General features: G+C 41.0%; 1 protein-coding gene across 5 annotated transcripts in view; it reads left to right on the forward strand.

Moving 5' to 3' along the window:
- CC2D2A (coiled-coil and C2 domain containing 2A) overlaps positions 1-19219 on the forward strand; it is a 131693-nt gene that overhangs the window by 74490 nt on the left and 37984 nt on the right. For 3 of the 5 annotated variants that reach the window (NM_001080522.2, NM_001378615.1, NM_001378617.1), the window contains 7 exons: positions 6470-6626; positions 8804-8951; positions 10718-10856; positions 12950-13153; positions 14811-14903; positions 16177-16268; positions 19001-19168. In NM_001080522.2, coding sequence (NP_001073991.2) covers positions 6470-6626; positions 8804-8951; positions 10718-10856; positions 12950-13153; positions 14811-14903; positions 16177-16268; positions 19001-19168 — 1001 coding nt within the window. Of the gene's footprint in view, positions 1-6469; positions 6627-8803; positions 8952-10717; positions 10857-12949; positions 13154-14810; positions 14904-16176; positions 16269-18955; positions 19169-19219 lie in introns of those variants that run through there. The other 2 variants (XM_047416010.1, XM_011513872.4) reach the window with 2 other exon arrangements.

The following is a 19219-nucleotide window of genomic DNA, read 5'->3' on the forward strand; positions in this document are numbered from 1 at the left end:
CTGACATCCATCATCAACTCATCCTCCCTGTTCCTCCCCTACAGAGGAAAAGCTGATATCAGGAAGACCAAGATTAACATGAGAAGACCGGATAGAGAGCTAGAAGGAAGAGCAGAAGACAGTAATGAGGCAGGCAGGAAGGAAAGGAAGTGGGCCAGGAGACACCCACTGGCAGACTCAGAAAGACAGGAGAGAAGGCAAGAAGGCCTCCCCTCCTGCAGGTGCCCAGCCATGCCTCCACTGATGGGTGAGAGCTCAGACTACTACCCAGGCAGCCTGTGAAACACACTCCCACTATGGGCACTTCTGAATGTTCTGAATTACTTTAGAGGGAGAGACTATCTTCTGTCTCCCACAGCACACCAGTATTTTATTTCACATATATTCTAAAATGTAAACAAAGCCTTCAATACTATCTCCTGCTTATTGCCTTGAATATTAGCTTGCTGTGGATGTTACAGTCAAAATAATTTTTGAAAAACCAATGTGACAATACTATGAAATAAATTTTTAAATAAAAAAGCAAAGTTACCCAGAATATTATCCAGAATATATTCATAGGCAATAAGCTTGGTCCTAAAAACTAAATCATGTAATTTTTTAAAAAGTTATAAATTAAGGGAGTTTTGACTAAGTTCTTAAGCTATTTAAAGGGATTTGATAACTGCCCAACTCTCATACCACAATGGCATAATGGCATAGTTTTTTAAGACTGAGTAGTGACTACAGATTAAATTAATCTAGGAGATACTGTATTTCAAGTCTCTAGTCATAGTAAGTACTCTGCTATTTGGAAATTTTCCACATGATTGCTAGATTTAAACTAGGGAAGAATTACTGGCAACTTTAGGAGGGTAGAAAAACTCACCTAAAATACATCTGTTAATGCCAATGCTATCAAATTCTTAACTTTAAAGCATAGTATATTTCAGAAAAAGTTCTAAGATTCTCAAAACTATAATGCATCAATTGATAACTCAGCAACCAAGTGGTCAATGTTTTCTGCTTGATTGTGAAAAGCCAACTGCGTATCTAAGCCAGGGTGTTGTGGAGAATTGGAAGCCATGTATACAGAGGGGCACATAGGACCCTGCCTCAGGAGTTTCAGTCCAGCTAGGATATAAGGGAGAGCTACAAAGAATCAATACTCACTGGTGCATAGATGTTAACGACCTTTGAAAGGAGCAGTGTAGACTGTGATGTTTGATTTCTTGCATGTTTGTAACCATAAGGCTCAGAGCTTCTAGCCAGGCTTGAGATAAGAATGCCAAGGCAGTTCTACAAGCAGAAGGTAAGTCCAAAGGCTGGCACAGAAAGCCAGGAGTGAGGGGATGGGCTCAGGGCCTGGCAGTAGAAATGGGAAGATGGGAAGAAGGAATTAATTAAAGTAAGATTGGAGCCAGAATTGGTGGAATCCACAGAGCTTGATGACAGTTTAACTTGAGGAAGTAAAAAGGGGAGAATCAGAGTTGGGCCAGGCACAGTGGCTCACACCTATCATCCCAGCACTTTGGGAGGCTGAGACGGAAGGATAGCTTGGGCCCAGAAGTTTGAGACCACCCTGTGCAACCTAGCGAGACCCCATCTCCACAAAAATTTTAAAAAATTAGCTGGGCATGGTGGTACATACCTCTAGTCCCAGCTACTTGGGAGGCTGAGGCAAGAGGATTGCTTAAGCCTGGGAGTTTGAGGCTGCAATGAGCCATGATCACGCCACTGCACTCCAGCCTGGGAGACAGGGTGAGACCCTGTCTCAAAAAAAAAATTGGCCCCAAGAGAAGGATGAGATTGGACTTCATGGGACAGGGGAGTTGGAGCCAGGCCACAGTCCTTCCAGAAAGGTCTTGAAAATCTTGGCTTTGGAGGCCTTTCCAAAATAAATATGTAGGGTTTTAAAAATGAAATTTGGCTTAGAAATTTAAAAAGCTTTGCCTTCATTTTTGTGTCATTTGCATCTGTAACTTTATCCTACATTCATCTTCTCAACACCAAAACAACTAACAACAGTGGTATAATATTGCTGGGTGCCTTTTAAATTTTTTAACATTATCATTTTTCCTTATTAGTCAATCCTGTTAAGCTTTTGTATTCCTGGCATGTGGATTGAGATAGGGAAATTCTCCTTTTAACCTACTTGGTGATGGCCCAGCTTTCTCTTCTCAGGGCCTTTCCTAATTCTCTGGCTCATCTGAGGAATAACTCCTCTATCAGAGTGGGAATAACAGTCATGTTTGGAGAAGTGTCCTTGTTTACCCTCGCCTACCTCACTTTTGTGGTTGCTGTTGGTTCTTTATGGACCCAAGTCCAAAACAGATGTTTTCACATACATCTTACTTGCCATGCTTTAAACTGGATGACAGCAAGTCAGACTGCTGATCCCAGAAAGCCCTGCTGTGTGCAGTTGGAAAGGTCAGGTGGTTGAGGGCTGGTAGGAAGTCGGGTGGCGGCTGCAGGGAAGATGGGTTGCATGAGGCAAGAAGACAGGTGTGGTCATCTAAAGGTAAGACAATGAGGGTTTGAATGAGACAAGGCCTGTGAAACTGGGAAATCTCTAGGAAATGTTTACTAAGTGTCTACTGCAGGAACACAATATTTACATATGTTATCTCGTGTTATCCCGAAGAAAGCCATGGGTACTATAATGGGAGAATTCCCATTAAAAAAAAAATCTTCCTTGCTTTATTTCTCTGACAAAATGACAGGTATAGAAATGTCTGCAGGAAAAAAACATGCTGGTTACATGCTATCATTTTAGATGGGAAAAACAAAACTTGTGATTCTTTTCTTTTGTACCTTTACAATATTCTGTGATTTTTTAAACTTTTTTATTGATACATAATAATTGTATGTATTTATGGGGTACATGTGGTATTTTGATACATGAATAGAATGTATAATGATCAAATCAGGGTATTTAGAATATCTATTACCTCAAACATTTATCATTTGTGTTGCAGACATTTTAAATCTTCTCTTCTAGCTATTTTGAAATATACAGTAAGTTATTGTTAACTATAGTAACCCTACTGTGCTATCAAACACTAGAACATACTCCTTCTAACTATATTTCTATACCATTAACGAACCTCTCTTCATCCTCCTCCTCTACCTCCTCCCTTCTCAGCCTTTGATAACCATCATTCTACTCTTTTCTTACATAAGATCAGCTTTTTAGGCTCCCACATATGAGTGAGAGGCCAGGGGTGCTGCTAAGCATCCTACAACATACAACTCACCACAACAAAGAATTACTTGGCCTGAGAACCCTCAGCATCGTTGAGAGAAAACAAAAATGAAACTAAATTATACAGAGATCTACTTATAAATACCTACTTAAAGCCCAAAGTACCCATTTCCTAATTTTTAAAAATAGCATTTCTTCCTAGCATTTAAAAGAACTTCTGGGCCAGGTACGGTGGCTCACCCTGTAATCCCAGCACTTTGGGAGGTCATGGCGGGTGGATCACCTGAGGTTGGCAGTTCGAGACCAGTCTGGCCAACATGCAGAAACCCCGTCTCTATTAAAAATAGAAAATTAGCGGGGCGTGGTGGTGCATGCCTGTAATCCCAGCTACTCAGGAGGCTGAGGCAGGAGAATTGCATGAACTCAGGAGGTGGAAGTTGCTGTGAGCCGAGATCACTCCATTGCACTCCAGCCTAGGCAACAAGAGCGAAACTCCGTATCCAAAAAAATAAAAAATAAAAATAAATAAAAGAACTTCTGCTATCTTAAGAGAGTAGGAAATAAAGATTGGGGAAATTCTGGATTTTTTTTTTTTTGGCTTTGTCAGATAGAATCCGTTTTTTTCTCATTAAAAAAATCTGATAAATATCTCCTGAGACAGTAACACCAACTAGCAAACCCTCCATTTCCCTAGAGTCCATGATTGCCTCTGCCTACAGACTTGGCACCAAGAGCCCCCATTCAGTTCCTCTCTAGGCACCAGCTAGGAATGTGGCTCCAGAAACTAGGAATAAGCCGCCTTCCACTGACGTCCTCAGAAACACCCTTTATGTGATCACTTATGTTTTATTGGTCATCACCAGGCATGGTGACCAGCACAGGGAACACCCATGAGGAGTAAAAACCACCTTTCATAGCCTTTCATAGGATTGTGGTGAAGATTAAACAAGGTACCACTCCGAAAGGCCCTTAAGTCCCTGTGCTTCCTACAAAAGGATGTCTCAATAAATTTTTGTCTCAATTAATTCTGGCAAAAAAAAAAAAAATGTGGTTTCTTTCATTTCAAACAAAATGAAAGAAAACACATCATTTTCTTGGGAAAAGACTTCATGCCAATGAGTTTGTAATTTAAGAGGTCAAACCAAGGTCTCCAGTGCAATAAATGATAACTACTACATGTTCTTTAAGCTGTAGAAGATTATAGAATTATAGGCTCTTAAGAGTGTTGGGTCAAGCAACAAATGGCACTCCTTGTCCCATCAGAGTTGTGAACCAATAAAAATATAGAGAACATTTTTTAAAAGAGGAAGGGTCACTTATAAATTAATAGAGGCTTGAGGAACATATCAGTCAATTACAACATATGGAATATATTTTGATCCTGATTCAAACAAAATGTTACAGAATTTTTTGAGGCTCTCAAGGAAATTTGAAACTTACTAATAGTTGAGGTTATTAAGGAATTATTATAAAAATGGTATTGTAATTATGCTTTTTAAAAATATCTATTATAGATACATATTGAAATATTTACAGATAAAATGATGTCTAGATTCAAAATAATGGAGGGGAGGGGAGTGGTTGACAGTATAGATGAAGTAAGATGGTCATAACATAGTGATCATTGAAGCTGGGGGTGACAGGTCTGTGGCATATTATTATTCCTGCATTATATGTGTTTGAAATTTTCCATAAAAGACTTTTTAGTATAGATCAAAATATTGCCTTTTTAACTGATAAAGATGAATTTAGAGAGTGTGTTTTAAGTGTGCCACTTACGGGCTTCCTGCTGAACTCCTGCCTATTAGAATAGCTCACAGCAAAATTAAGTCTGGGGTCCTGAATTCAGTACCTGTGCAATTTCTGCCTTTGTCTTTGACCCAGTGCCCCTCCATGATCAGCCAGCCATCTTGCAAAGGTGAGTGATGGATACTGGGGAGGCAAGGCCAGGATAGTAGCCAGTCACCACTTCATCCTCACTCCTGGACAAGAATTCAGATCAGGCTGTAATCCCAGCACATGGGGAAGCTGAGGAGGGCAGATCACTTGAGGTCAGGAGTTTGAGACCAGCCTGGCCAACGTGGTGAAACGCTGTCTCTACTAAAAATACAAACATTAGCCAGGCGTGGTGGTGGGCGCCTGTAATCCCAGCTACTTGCGGGGCTGGGGCAGGAGAATCGCTTGAACCCAGGAGGCAGAGGTTGCAGTGAGCCAAGATCACGGCACTGCACTCCAGCCTAGGTGACAGGGCGAGACTCCATCTAAAAAAAGAAAAGTTCAGATCATATGCCCTGTAAGGGAGGGTTGGCGGAAAGAATCCATGGTGTCATCTTTGTGCATTCAAGTGGTAAGTGGAAAATATTAACTAGTGGGGGACTATTACATAAGAAGAAAAATATAAAGATTAATCAGTGGAAATAAAAGTAGTAAAATCAGCATTTTTCAAAAAATGTAAACCAGTCACAGAGACCTCATGTACAGAAAGAATAAAACACAGGAAAGAAGCCAGGAGAACTGTGGAATATTATGTCATATTGCCACAAAAGTGAAGTGTGCCAAGAATACAGGGGATCGAATGGAGCCAAGGGTCCAACTGAGGCTGGATTGTGTATTCTTAAACGATGGTTGCCCTGCAATGGGGCCCTTCACCTCATGGTGATGGCATCATAATGAGACACACTGCAGTGATCAGTAGCAGAGCTGCTGATGGTCTAATTGGCTCCATCTAGGAGAAGATCTGAGAAAAATCTGGAGTTTCAGCAGCTAACAAATAAAATGAGGCCTGAAAGAGAAGAACTTGATAGATTTACTAAAAATGTAACACTCTGGAGTGCTTCTGCATATGGAGCTTCTCCGACTGACTTGGAGATTGGTGCAGATAATAAGCCATCTGGGGGCATGTCCTTACTGTCCCACCCATTCCTCCTGATGGCATTACTGTCTGAATACAACCTGAGCCTGGAAAAGGAGGAGGCCCATTCTCCTAGCAAGCCATATATTGGTTTGGAATAAAAACAATTATCCTCGCCTGCTACTTTGATTAGCCTCCCTACCCAGAAGATTAGTCCAGGCAAGAAAGCTGGGTGTCAACAACTTGACCACAAACAGTTGTAAGCTCATCTCCATGGAAACCATATAGTAACACAACTCAACTTTCCACAATGAGATGAGCCCTTAGGGCTGGAACAGTGACCAGCACAAATACTAACAACATGGACTGATTATCTGAGCGTGAGCACACACTACTGCTGTTTTTATTGGCTATTTCTCTTCTCTGGTTTTCAGGTCTATGAAACTGTCGGACACAGTAGTCCCACCTTGCTAGCAGAAGTGTTTCTGCCTATTCCTGAGACTACTGTTGTCACTGGAAGGGCTCCTACTGAAGAAGTGGAGTTTAGCAGTAATCAGCATGTGACACTGGACCACGAGGGAGTTGGAAGTGGTATGGAAAGCTAATATCTTCAATGGTTCACTGTTTCATTGTCAGATTTGAATGTGTATATATCTATTTCACTTCCCAGACAACCATAGAATTATAAAATTGATATCAAAAATTCAAATTCAAACAATGATGCTATGCAACTTTTTGCCAAGTTGCTTTTTATATACTGTTGGTGACAATGTAAGTGCATATAACTGTGCAACTATGAAGTAGTTTGGCAGTGTAAGTTGAGAACCTTGAAAATGACCTTTGGTGCCTTACTTTTATTTCTAGGAATCTTTCCTAAGAAAATAATTTGAAAGGAGGACAAACATGTATGCATAAAAATGTACATCACAGTGTTGTTCATAAGCCCAAAAAGTTTGAAATAATTATAACAGGGAGATTTTTAATTAATATTCTCTCATCTCCTTCTATAATTCCGATTGGATATATGATGGATCTTCTCACTCCTTCCTCCATGTTTCTTAACCTTTCTTCATTACCTTTGCTGTCTTTTTCTTTCACTGCTACAATCTATATAATTTCTTTAAATTTGTCCTCCAAGCCATGAATTCACTTTTTGGCTGTCTCTTATTATTGGAACTAATCCTTTCTGTTTTTCCTTCCAATTACTGTATATTTCAACTCTAGAAATTATGCTTAGTTCTTTCCCAATCAGTGTGGTCAGTTCTGACAGCTTTTTTTCCTTTCCTCAGACTCTCAATCATTTCTTTTATACATTCATTCATTCATTTAAATATATTTAAAATATTCTTAAATATTAGGTATCTGATCATTCCAATACCTATCTACTTATTGGTCTGATTCTGTTGCCTCTTGTTTATGGTGTCTTGCTTCCTCATGTGTCTGTTTTTTTATTGTGACTTATATCTGGAACTTTATTTGCATTATTTATTTAAGGCCGAATCCAATCCTCAGGTCCAGAGACTTAGGTTTTAGTTCCAGCTCTGATATTGGCAAGCTGTGAGACTCTGGTAGTCTTGTAACCTCTTTGCATATCATTTTCCTCATTTATAAAATGGATCTATTAATAGCTCCTTTAATGTCTTATAAGGTTATTTTGAAGATCAAGATAGGATGTTCAATATGAAGGAAAGATCTAGAGTTACTTCATTTAGTGCTTGAAAATCTTCTCCTTTAGTTGATTAAATAACTGCCCAGAGCGTTTTTACCATTAAATTCCCATCGGTAGAGGCCAAATCAGTGAGAGTTTACTGTAGCCACAACAGCTTAGTAATAATTAACATGTGTTGTGTGATCACTATTTGCCAGGCATTGTGTAAGTGCTTTGCAAATATTAACTTATTTAACTCCTGTTCCTCACGTCTGTCTTAGGGTGCTTGCACTTGTTCCTTCTGCCAGTAATGCTCTTTTCCAAAACAATACACCTCTACCTCCACTTCTTCATTTTCTTCAGCCATTTACTCAAAAGTCGCCTTCATTGAGGCTTTCCTGGCCACCCCTTCTAAAAGTTTATCCCCTCTCCACTCTCCAAAGCACAAATTTTCTATATACCTTCCCTAATTTGTTTCTCCTTAGCACTTACATACAATCTCTAACATACTAAGTATTTCTCTTAGTATACTAACATACTTACATACAGTCTCTAACATACTAAGTATTTCTCTTATTTCTCTTAGTATTGCTTCTCTCCCTGACTCAAATATACACCCCATGAGATCAGAAGTTCTTTTCTTTCTCAGTTTTTAGAACAGGGATTCTTAACAGTTTTGCTTCTTTAGCGCTATCTTCAGTGCCTGCAATAGTGCCTGGCATGAAGTAGAAGCTCAAATAAGTACTTTGAATGACTAAGTAAATAAATGTCTTTGAAATAACTCTGCAAAGAAGGTGCTATTTAGTATCCCTGATTTATACATTAAAAACTATGGCTCAGAAAGTTAACTAATTTGTCCAAGGTCACAAAGCTGTGAAGCAGGTGGACCCACTCGAGAGTGCGTCATGAGAATGTCTACTCTCTGCCATCAGAGACAGAGCTGAGCAGCTGTCAGCATCATCACCTGAAGAAATTCAGTGACACTGGCTTGAATCATGTGCTCCATCTTCATCACCCCCACCCACTCCAAGTTCCATTTGTCTACTATCTGCTTTCTTGCCAGGACTAGGCTCAGTCCCTCTTTCTAAACAGCATCCTGTTTAATCTGGTGTTTCCCCAGGAGTGCCCTTCTCATTTGAAGCTGATGGCAGTAACCAGCTGACTCTGATGACCTCAGGGAAAGTGTCTCATAGTGTGGCATGGGCCATTGGAGAAAACGGGATACCTTTAATTCCTCCATTGTCACAGCAGAACATCGGATTTCGGAGGTAATACATGGCAAGAGTAAATTGATGAGCAATGTCAGTGTTATCATTAAAGATACCCAAGGGGAAAGAAAGCTTGCAGTATCATATTCTTTCCTTTTATTGTCAGGTGCCAGTATTTTCAAGAGTTTTTTATTCTTAAGGTAAAAACAAAAAATGTTTTATAATAACCTCTAGTCCAAAAAATTAAAATATTAATAGCCTAAGAAATATTAAGTGTTTATCGGTATTCGATACAGTGAAAAGAACTTAATCTTCACAGTAACTCTAGGAGGTATTCTCTCCCCTATTTTACAGATGGGGGAGATGCACAGCATCACAGTTGTATATATTTTGCCCTTAGTAAAGGTTTGTTGCTAATGATGATTGGTGTAGGATCTGCTGTTTACATGAAAGTCCCCATTCTCCAGCCTCCTCCCTTGATCGCTATATCCTTGAGTCTCTACTCAGAACAGAAGAAAGGCACTCTGGGCCTCACCCTAGGCCAGCCCCTCCCTGTGTTTGATGGTTGTCCCTGAAGCTTAGATTGTGGTAGCCCGTGGCCTGGGTCTTCCTCTGTCAGAGCCTCTCTCTGTCATTCCCCAGTAGATGTGTCTACAGTCAATCATTTCACCATTCCAGGCCTCAGTTGCCTCATCTCTAAAATAAAAGGATTCATTGTGATCATGAAGAAGACACTTTCCAAGTCACAGGCTGTCATGTTCAACTTATGGAAAAACAGAATTGGGCTCGTTTAGTTCCCTTGATGCCTTCAATCCCCATAACGACCACACATGTCCATGTGATAAAAACCACAAGGAGATGCTGCTATTTGCTTTCTAAGTCAGAAGCCACTTCCAGTGGAGGCCTGACTATGCCTTTGAATGTAAGAAGTCTGCATTCATTTCACTTGCATTTAGTGCTAGAAAAATCTCCTGGGGAGTAAAGCTTTCAACTCCTCAGAATAGAAGGTAAAACACAATGTGAGTAACAAGATATGCAGGACTATTAATAAAGCCCCAGCTCAACCTTGCTGACTACTGTGGCTTCCTTTGATCTCCAGGTGTCCAAAGCTGGTGCTTAAGTTTGTTGTTTAGTAGTTGGTTTTAGGCTGGGCACGGTGGCTCACGTCCATTATCCGACTATTTTGGGAGGCCGAGGCAGGCAGATCACATGAGGTCAGGAGTTTGAGACCAGCCTAGCCAACATGGCAAAACCCCATCTCTACTAAAAAAAATAATAAAATTAGCTGGGCATGGTGGCGCATGCCTGCAATCCCAGCTACTTGGGTGGCTCAGGCATGAGAATCATTTGAACCTAGCAAGTAGAGGTTGCAGTGAGCTGAAATCGCACCACTGCGCTCTAGCCTGGCCGACAGAGCAAGACTGTCTCAAAAAAAAGAGTTGGTTTTGTTTCTTTTTCTTTTGGTTTGTCCTCAGCTATAGTGGGCCCCAGTGGCCTGGGATGTGAGGCTTTGTGGGCTTCCAGCACCAGATACAGAGGCCCCTCTTCACTGGCCAGAATCCAGGGACCAAGGGGCACTTTTATGCACTGGACAGAGTTGTAGGAATTAGTCATATCTGCAGTCCTTCCATTCCTGTTTCTTTATTGTCCTTATGTTTAATAGCCATCATCATGTAAAGAAAAATGACAAAATCCTTCCTTATGATAACATTTTCTCTCATGGAGGATAATAGCTTCCTCAAGTCATGCTGTCTCTAGAATTTGAGGTCCTGATGCAAACTGTTCTGTGGTCAAGTCAGTCTCATGGAATCAACTCTTCTTTTCAGTGCTTTGAAGAAAGCAGATGCCATCTCATCTATTGGCACATCAGGACTGACAGACATGAAAAAATTGGCCAAGTGGGCAGCAGAGTCCAAGCTCGACCCAAATGACCCCAACAATGCCCCTTTGATGCAGCTTATCTCGGTATGTAGCAGGAGGCACACATGCCATTTCTTGACTTGGCCTTTTACACAATTTTCCTTTACACTATCTTCTCCTATGCAATACTGTTTAAGAACATGGGTGCTGGGTTGAATGCCAAGTTTGAATTCCAGCTGTGCTTCTTGCCTGGCTATGGGACCCAGGCAAGTATTCAGTGCTTCTAAGCCCTGTGCTGCTGTCATAGCGGGGTCATGAGGAAATGAACAGCTGCAGATAAACTCTTAGCTCGGCCGGGCATGGTGGCTCATGCCTGTAATTCCAGCACTTTGGGAGGCCAAGGAAGGAGGATCGCTTGAGCCCAAGAGTTCGAAACCAGTCTGGGCAACATGGCGAAACCCTATCTCTGCAAAAAATGTAAAAATGTGCTTGGCACGGTGGCGCATGCCTATAGTCCCAGCTACTAAGGAGGCTGAGGTGGGAGGATCAATTGAGTCCACAAGGTTGAGGCTTCAGTGAGCTGTGATCTTGCCACTGCACTCCAGTCTGAATAGAGTGAGACTCCCATCTCAAAAACAAACAAACAAACAAAACCCCTTTATCTGGGCACACAATTTGTGAGCAGTAAATATTGTTGTTGTTGTCACTCCTACCTCCAACCTCTGTAAAACTCCTAAAGGTTTTATATCCCCTTCTCCAGAGAGGAAGCTGAGTTCAGAAACTCAGCGTTATTTGCTTAAGGTCACTCAGCTAATAAGTCGATTTGATTTCAGGACACTTGCTTTTTTCATCACAACTTAAAGCACTGATGGGGCATTTTAGGGAAAATTTGTTTTGTTTTCTTGTTGTTGATTAATTAGTTATCATTTAGGTTTCACTTAAGTATTTACCAGATAAATTGCTCAGATCTACCATAATATTCAAAATTCTTTCTTCAATGAATTTGCAAATAAATTGGAACATTAGTTTATTTTTCTTGGTATCGAATACAATTGGTTTTATTGGCAACTTCATTATTCACACAAAGCCATAATAAACAAGTAGGTAATCCAGAGGGTAGCCCTAGCAACACATCCTTATGATCATGGCTATCAGTATGTGTTTATCAATAGGATAATTGTAGCCGGCATGAACATTTTCATTTTGGTTCTAGTTTTTCCAAGTCCCATAACAAACCTTGGTTTATTCTGACTTTTATCTTTATAAACTCTCCTAAAGCATGATACACCTTAGTGTGCCTAATAGAAATATTTGGAAGATTGGGTCATATTACCTAAAATGTAGTCTATTCCATGTAAAGTTTTCAAATCACATTTCAATAGACACGTCACTTTCATTATTTTCTTTTTAACTATATGTTTTCCCATCAAAGAACAAAACGGGGATTGCCTTCTTGACTGGTCTCTTGCTATGAACCAGGATTGCCTTTCCCATGCAAGGCCCCAGCACATCTTGGGGCACTAGCTTTTCCTCTGCTCAGGAGGAGGTTACAGCCAGCAAAGCACCAAGCAGAGAGGCAGGCAGCACCTGGGTGAGGTGCAGTCCACATCTGCTCAGCTTCTCAGAGGTGCCAGACTTGGCCTTCTTGAGACAATGCACAGGGGCCTTGGAGGCTGGCTGGGCTGGATCCATCTCTGGCTAACTTTTCTCAGTGACCAAGGCTGTGAGGTGCTATTCAGGGACAGGAAAGCATGGCTGTGGAGCCAAGTAAAGCTGACCAGCTGCCTCTGAGGCCTTTATCTGCATATGCACATGACATTAAAAAGTCATATATTCGATTTTATATACGATATGTATATGGGTAATCTTATTTCTAGTAGGCACCTCGTAATACACTGTAGTCTGGCACAAATCTCTCCTTTTTCAGTCTGTATATTTGTGTAATAACACTACTAGGGAAGCATGAACACCAAAAGTGAAACATATAATTTTTATTGTTTGGAAAATGATTTGTGGTATTGTTTATAGCTACTAAATGAATATAATAGCATGTGACTCATTATTATTATATTTTAAAGTATTTTGTCTTTCAAGTCTTTTAATCTAAAACTGTTAAATGTTCCTTGACACTCAGTGCCAAGTTTCTTTGGATGAGATCTGACTGTCATCTGGAGTTTTGCATTTTCCGTTTTTTATAGGTTGCTACCAGTGGTGAATCCTATGTCCCTGATTTCTTTAGACTGGAGCAGCTGCAACAGGAGTTTAACTTTGTTTCAGATCAAGAATTAAATAGATCCAAACGATTTAGGCTTCTTCATCTTAGAAGCCAAGAGGTGCCAGAATTCCGAAATTATAAGCAAGTTCCAGTCTATGACCGAGAAATTATGGAAAAGGTATTCCAGGTAAGAAACTGCCATAGAGGGGTTAATAAAATAATAAAGTACCTACTGTGCTGTTAGGTATACTACTGTATATGTATTTTGTTTTTGTTATGTTGTCACTAGCAATAGCGGTTTCTCTTTTATTTCACTTTTATACATAACCTTTCCATGCTTTTTCTTGAATTCACCATTTAAATAATCTCTCTGCCTCAATATAATGATATATAAACTAATCAGTAACCAGGATTCTGAGTCAACTGAACTGCATACAATTAGAATTGTAGGGTTGAAAAATATCTTAGAGGTTAATATGGCTAATAATATGGCTAGTTAATTATTAACATGGCTAATTATTGAATGCCTTAGTCAGGAATTCAATTCCATTTTAATGCAGTATGTACTAAGTGTCATGTACTCAGCACACTGGTAAAGCACTACAGGGAAAACTAGAGGGATAGGATCTGAATAGCCATGGGATGGGTGGGGCATGAAGGAGGTAAAGGAACAGGGCTGGGCATCCATCCTGGTCAAGGGCAGCAGGAGGAACAAAGACTCAGAGGAGGGCAGATCGCACCTCCAGGTGTGGGGTGGAGGAGCCTTTGAGGAACTGCAGGTAACAGGCCTGTGTAGGTGGGGCAGGCCAGTGAAACCAGATGCATGCACTTTTTTTTTCTTTTTCCCTGCTTTTCATGAGCTGTAGACACATGCACTTTTATTAATACTTAACAAGGTAAATGGAGAGCCATCAGGAATTAGTACCAGGAAGATTTTTCATGGCAAAACTATTCTTGAAGAATATGGTTGGTTATTTGGTTCTTCTCTGTATTAGTTTGGACTTTGATCACAGGAGATAAAAGCCAATTTTGAACTACCTTAGGCACCAAGGGGAGTTTACTGGATGATGAAATCTCAAAATAGCATTAAATATCTAAAAACGTGTGAATGGCATGAGTGCATCTGTGCCTGGCCTGCTACCAGGACCCTTCTCCATCCTCTCTAGGCTTCTTTGATGTGTTGGCATCATGCTCCTCCTTTGCAGACAGGTTTTCTCTACTTGACCACATGGTCACCAACATCATACAAGTTCACATCTAGTATCTTCAGCCAGCAGAGGTGTGTCCCCCGAGCCTGAGTTAGGTACCACTACCAGGCATTCAACTGTGACCAAAGAGTGGGATTAGAGGAGAACATAGCAGTTCCCAGGGCACACACATAATTTTGTTGACAGAAAAGGGGAGAGGCCTGAGCAGACAAAGCCAGATGTATGCATCACTCTCCTCCAAGCAGATGACCTGGCTCAGCTACAGCCAGATGTTATATGATTATGGTAATGTGTTAACTGAAACTTTACTTAAAACAGAAAAGGCAAAACTTAAGCAGGAGCTTTGGCTAAATTGCTTGGAAGAGCTTCTCTGTGGCCTCTATTTCTTCCTGACTTAACGTTTTAACTTGTAACTACTATACAGAATTCTCTTCTACTAGTAAGGCATTTCAGCCACCTGTCTCAGAATCCTGGTTACTCTATCAAAGACCAATTCTGAACCAAAAGTTAGGAAGAAGGTGGAAGAAATATTTAAAACCACAAGTTATAACTTAAATCATATGTGATAAATAATTACCTGATCTTAAGAAAAGCACCAGAGAGTGCTTTAAAATCATTGCCTCTTTTTAATTTTAGGACTATGAGAAACGGTTACGAGACAGAAATGTAATAGAAACCAAGGAACACATAGACACCCATAGGGCCATAGTAGCCAAGTACCTCCAGCAGGTAAGAAAAATCATATAAAACTGTCTTCATAGGGAGAAAAGAGCCAGCACCCTAAGGTGGAAAGTCCTCTACTCTTTTAAATATCTATGTGAGCTTATGCAAGCCACTTAGCTTGCATAAATTTCCTCATAAACACAAATATATAATTGATTGACAACTATCATCACCTTTCAAATATATGAAACAACCAGGCTATGTTCTGGTTTATTATCAGCAGTTACCTTTTAATGGGTCATGATTACAAGGGATTCAATTTCTAAGTCATGTTTTTTCTAATATTTGAATGTTGCATTGCGTTACAATGATTACCTTTGTAATCAGAAAAAAACAAAAGTTTTTAAACCATATACTAACTGCCCTTATGCACTAGAAAACTAAAAATTAAAGCTGAAACATCCTTTCGTTTGTCCTTTTTCCTTCTTTCCTTCCTTCCTTCAATAAACTTAACTTGCCACAAATGCTAAGTGACTACAGTGCATTTTCCCCATCCAGTGTTATCTACCCTGTGGCTCATGTATTATTTTTTAAAATGAATTATTTAAGAGGTTATTTATTTATTTATTTATTTATTTTTATATATTTGAGACAGGGGGCTGGTTGGCTTTGTCGCCCAGGCTGAAGTGCAGTAGTGTAGTGTGATCTCAGTTCACTCTAACGTCCACCTCCCGGGCTCAAGCCATCCTCCCACCTCAGCCTCTCGAATAGCCAGGACTACAGGTACACACCACCATGCCTGGCTAATTTTTATATTTTTTGTAGAGATGGGGTTTTGCCACGTGCCCCAGGCTAGTCTCGAACTCCTGAGCTCAAGCAATCCACCCACCTTGGCCTCTCAAAGTGCTGGGATTACAGGCATGAGCCACCGCGCCCAGCCAGAGGTCCTCTGGAATTAGGAAGTGAATCATTCTGGATAAGGGAATAACTTAAGAATCAGTTCTTAAGTATGTGTGTTTTGAGACTGGCCCTATTTTTTGTAATGGTTAATTCATTATTTCAGCAAATTTTGCCATCTTATATGCCGGGAACTTTACCAGGAACTCCAATATTGCAGTAAGCAAAACAGGAAAACCCCTGACTTTAGGGAGCTTACAGTCTAGTACAGAAAGCTAGAGGGTTTACAGCAAGAGGAGACCAGCATTGCAGAGGAAAGTAACAGTTGGGCTGGAGGACTGGGGGGACACTGAGATGACATTAGGGTAAAAACTTAGAGTGTGGAGAGTGAACTACGAAGTTTAAATAATAACATTTTAAATAAGCTGATTTCTTTCCCCAGGTTAGAGAATCAGTGATAAATCGTTTCTTAATTGCAAAACAATATTTTCTTCTTGCTGATATGATAGTAGAAGAAGAAGTTCCCAATATCAGGTAAAAATAATCAAAGCCATTATTATCAATTCTTATAAAAATTATTATTTATACTCTATTATATGAAAGGTATCATATAAGATTTTTAAAAATCATCGTATGGTATGCATTTGGGCCAGGAATAATGTGTTAAACCTGGTTAATACCTGATGATGACATTAGTTGAGGGATTTCTACTAGAACAAGTCTTCCTAGGGCCTCTCCCATTGCATTCCAACAAACCCCATCTCACCTCCCCTACTTCCAAATCAACTTCATTAGCCTTTGCCATTTTCTCATTCCCGTTGAACTAAACCTGACAGCATTTCCCTCCTGCAAGTACTTCTCCTGTTTTCCTAGTCTCCCAGTGCCAGACATTCCCTTACTCTCCTGTCGCATGGCAGTAGAGGTGGCTGAGACCCCACCCACAAGCTTCTGGGGTGGACGAGGAAACCTGGTTGCAGCACCACAGCTGGTGGGCAGAGAGCTGGTGCATGTGCTTGGTGAGAGTGTAGAACAGCAGGAAAGATTTGATATTCACACAGATATTGGGAATTGACTGTATTTGCTTGATTGACTCATTAGTTTGGATAATTGTCAAATGGCTTCAACTAGGGGTGTGGATATAGAAAAGATGAAAGATAATTTCCCATACTGGTGGTCTTGTGCAGGCCACATGACCTTTTCTGTGATTAAGTCTCTTGGTCTCCTAAAAAGGTTTTTTCTATGCATATACTTTCTCTCCACCATCAAGTTGGGAAGGAGACAAAAAAAATGTGCAATCCATAGCAGCCCCTTTCCACATATAGAAAGGAGGCTACACCCACATAAATCCATGCAAAACCTCTCTCTCTATTCCAGGCCCACAGTCCAGTCATTGAATGTTTTCAAAGTCATGAAAATTACACTTAGAATAGATGATGATTTTTCATATTGTTTTTTTTTTCTTTTCCTTCCTTTTTTTCTGCTTTACTTTCTGCATTAAGTTCTGAAGGCTCAGGGTATGTTCTTTCTTCTTTTAATTTCAGTTCCTTCTTGGCTTTAAGATGTTTCTGTATTTGATGGTCCTGGCTGACATGGTGCTCCCATGCTGACTGCTATGGAGACATCAAAGTCTCAGGGAGGACTTACCTCCAGGGGAGGGAGGAAGCATTGACAATGGAAGAGTGTTGTCATGTTAGGACCTCTAACAAAGTTCTGTCTCTGAGGCCCCCTAGTTTGGGTTAGGTAGGTGTCCTGGCAGAGTGATTAAAAACATGAGCTATATAGTCACAGTGACCTGAGTTTGAACCCCTGCTCTCCCTCCTACTACTAAGGAACCTTCAGCAAATCATAACACCTCTCGTAGCCTCTAATTTCTTCATCTGAAATACAGGGTAAATATTATATGCGTAAAGATTAGAAATGTTATATGTAAGGCACCCAGCACTCTTCTCAATACATAGGAGGTGCTTATAAATGGTAGCTATTTTGTGTAAAACCTTGGAGAATAAACAGGAACAACAGCTCCTGGAATCCTGGAACTTCCTTGGGTTTCCTTATAGGAGCTGTCAGCAGCGCCTAGACAGGAGCTGCAGAGACCTCAGCCTCAGCTGGCATGTGCCTCTTGCAAAGAGGGGCTCCAGTCAAGAGGTCACTTAGCCAGCTCTGATCCTCAGGAAGGAAGCAGAGAACCATGTGCATTATAGCCTGTGGCCAGCTCTGCAAAGCTGGCTTTGTTCTTTGGCTGTTTCACACAGCCATTAACATCAGCTTCCAGATACAGTCACATCTTTGTTTCTGTTTAGTTTCTGGGCCAGAATTTATTTGGTCCATGAACGTTTCTCCTATGATTCACTGACTCTGTTGCTTTCATCTTACAGGAAGTGTTTCTTGCATATCATCTCCGTGAAAGGTAGAGACATGAGAGAAGGAGTCTCTTGCTTCTCCCCTAACCCCTTCCTCCTCCCTATACCTCCTCCTCTTCTTCCACCTTAATCACTGGCATCAACCCAATAGTTACCATTTTAGGACATCTACTAAGTGCTAGAGCAGTGTCAGGGTGCTTTACACACACTTCCTTATTCAATCCCTTCAACAATCCAAAGAAGTAGGTATCATTATCCACATTTTACAGATGATGAAACAGAGACTTAAAGAGGTGAAATGATTTGCCCAAGGGCAAAGAGTGGAGCCAGGATTCACACCCAGTTCTAACTCCAGAGTGAAAGAGATAACCCAGGAACTGCCTAAGCAGCTGTACACACCCACTGTCATGTGAAGGGAGCAGGCTAATAGGAGCTCAAGAGGTTTGGAAGAGAGAGTAACCCTTCCAGCTGGAGTAGCTGAGTCTCTGGGGGAGGTGGACACTGGCCCCAAGGGATGGGTAAAACTGCAACCAACTAGGCAGACAAGGAAGATGCAGGGAGGCATTCCCTCTGCAGGACTGGCCCAAGCAAATGTGAAGGATGGGAGACCATAGGCATGTTTGAGGAACTGGTGGGTGAGCAAGGTAGAGATAAGGCAGGAAATGTAAGGGCCAGAGCATGGCTTCTCTTCCTTGGATAAGCAGCAGCTAGAGTAAGTTTTAACAATCCATGCAGTAGGATCTCGCCCATTTGGGAGAATTTCTAGACTATTTCCACCCACCTTCAAAGGACAAGGAGTTTTTCAGGGGCGTGTGCAGGACCATGGGGCAGAGTTCGGGAAGTCGTCTCACAATTTTGCAGACCTTTCTTTTTCTTAGAGTCCTGATCCTGTTCTGTAATCATTAGCATTTTGGGCCTAAGCCTTTTCAAGCTGGCAGAACAAAAGCGACCACTGCGGCCAAGGAGAAAAGGTCGGAAGAAGGTGACAGCCCAAAACCTGTCTGATGGAGACATAAAGCTGCTGGTGAACATTGTGCGAGCTTACGACATTCCAGTGAGGAAGCCGGCAGTGAGGTGAGAGCCCTCCCAACAGCCCGAGATGCAGTGTGCAGCATCCCAGCCAAG

Source organism: Homo sapiens, chromosome 4 (assembly GCF_000001405.40).
Source record: "Homo sapiens chromosome 4, GRCh38.p14 Primary Assembly".
Lineage (NCBI taxonomy): Eukaryota > Metazoa > Chordata > Mammalia > Primates > Hominidae > Homo > Homo sapiens.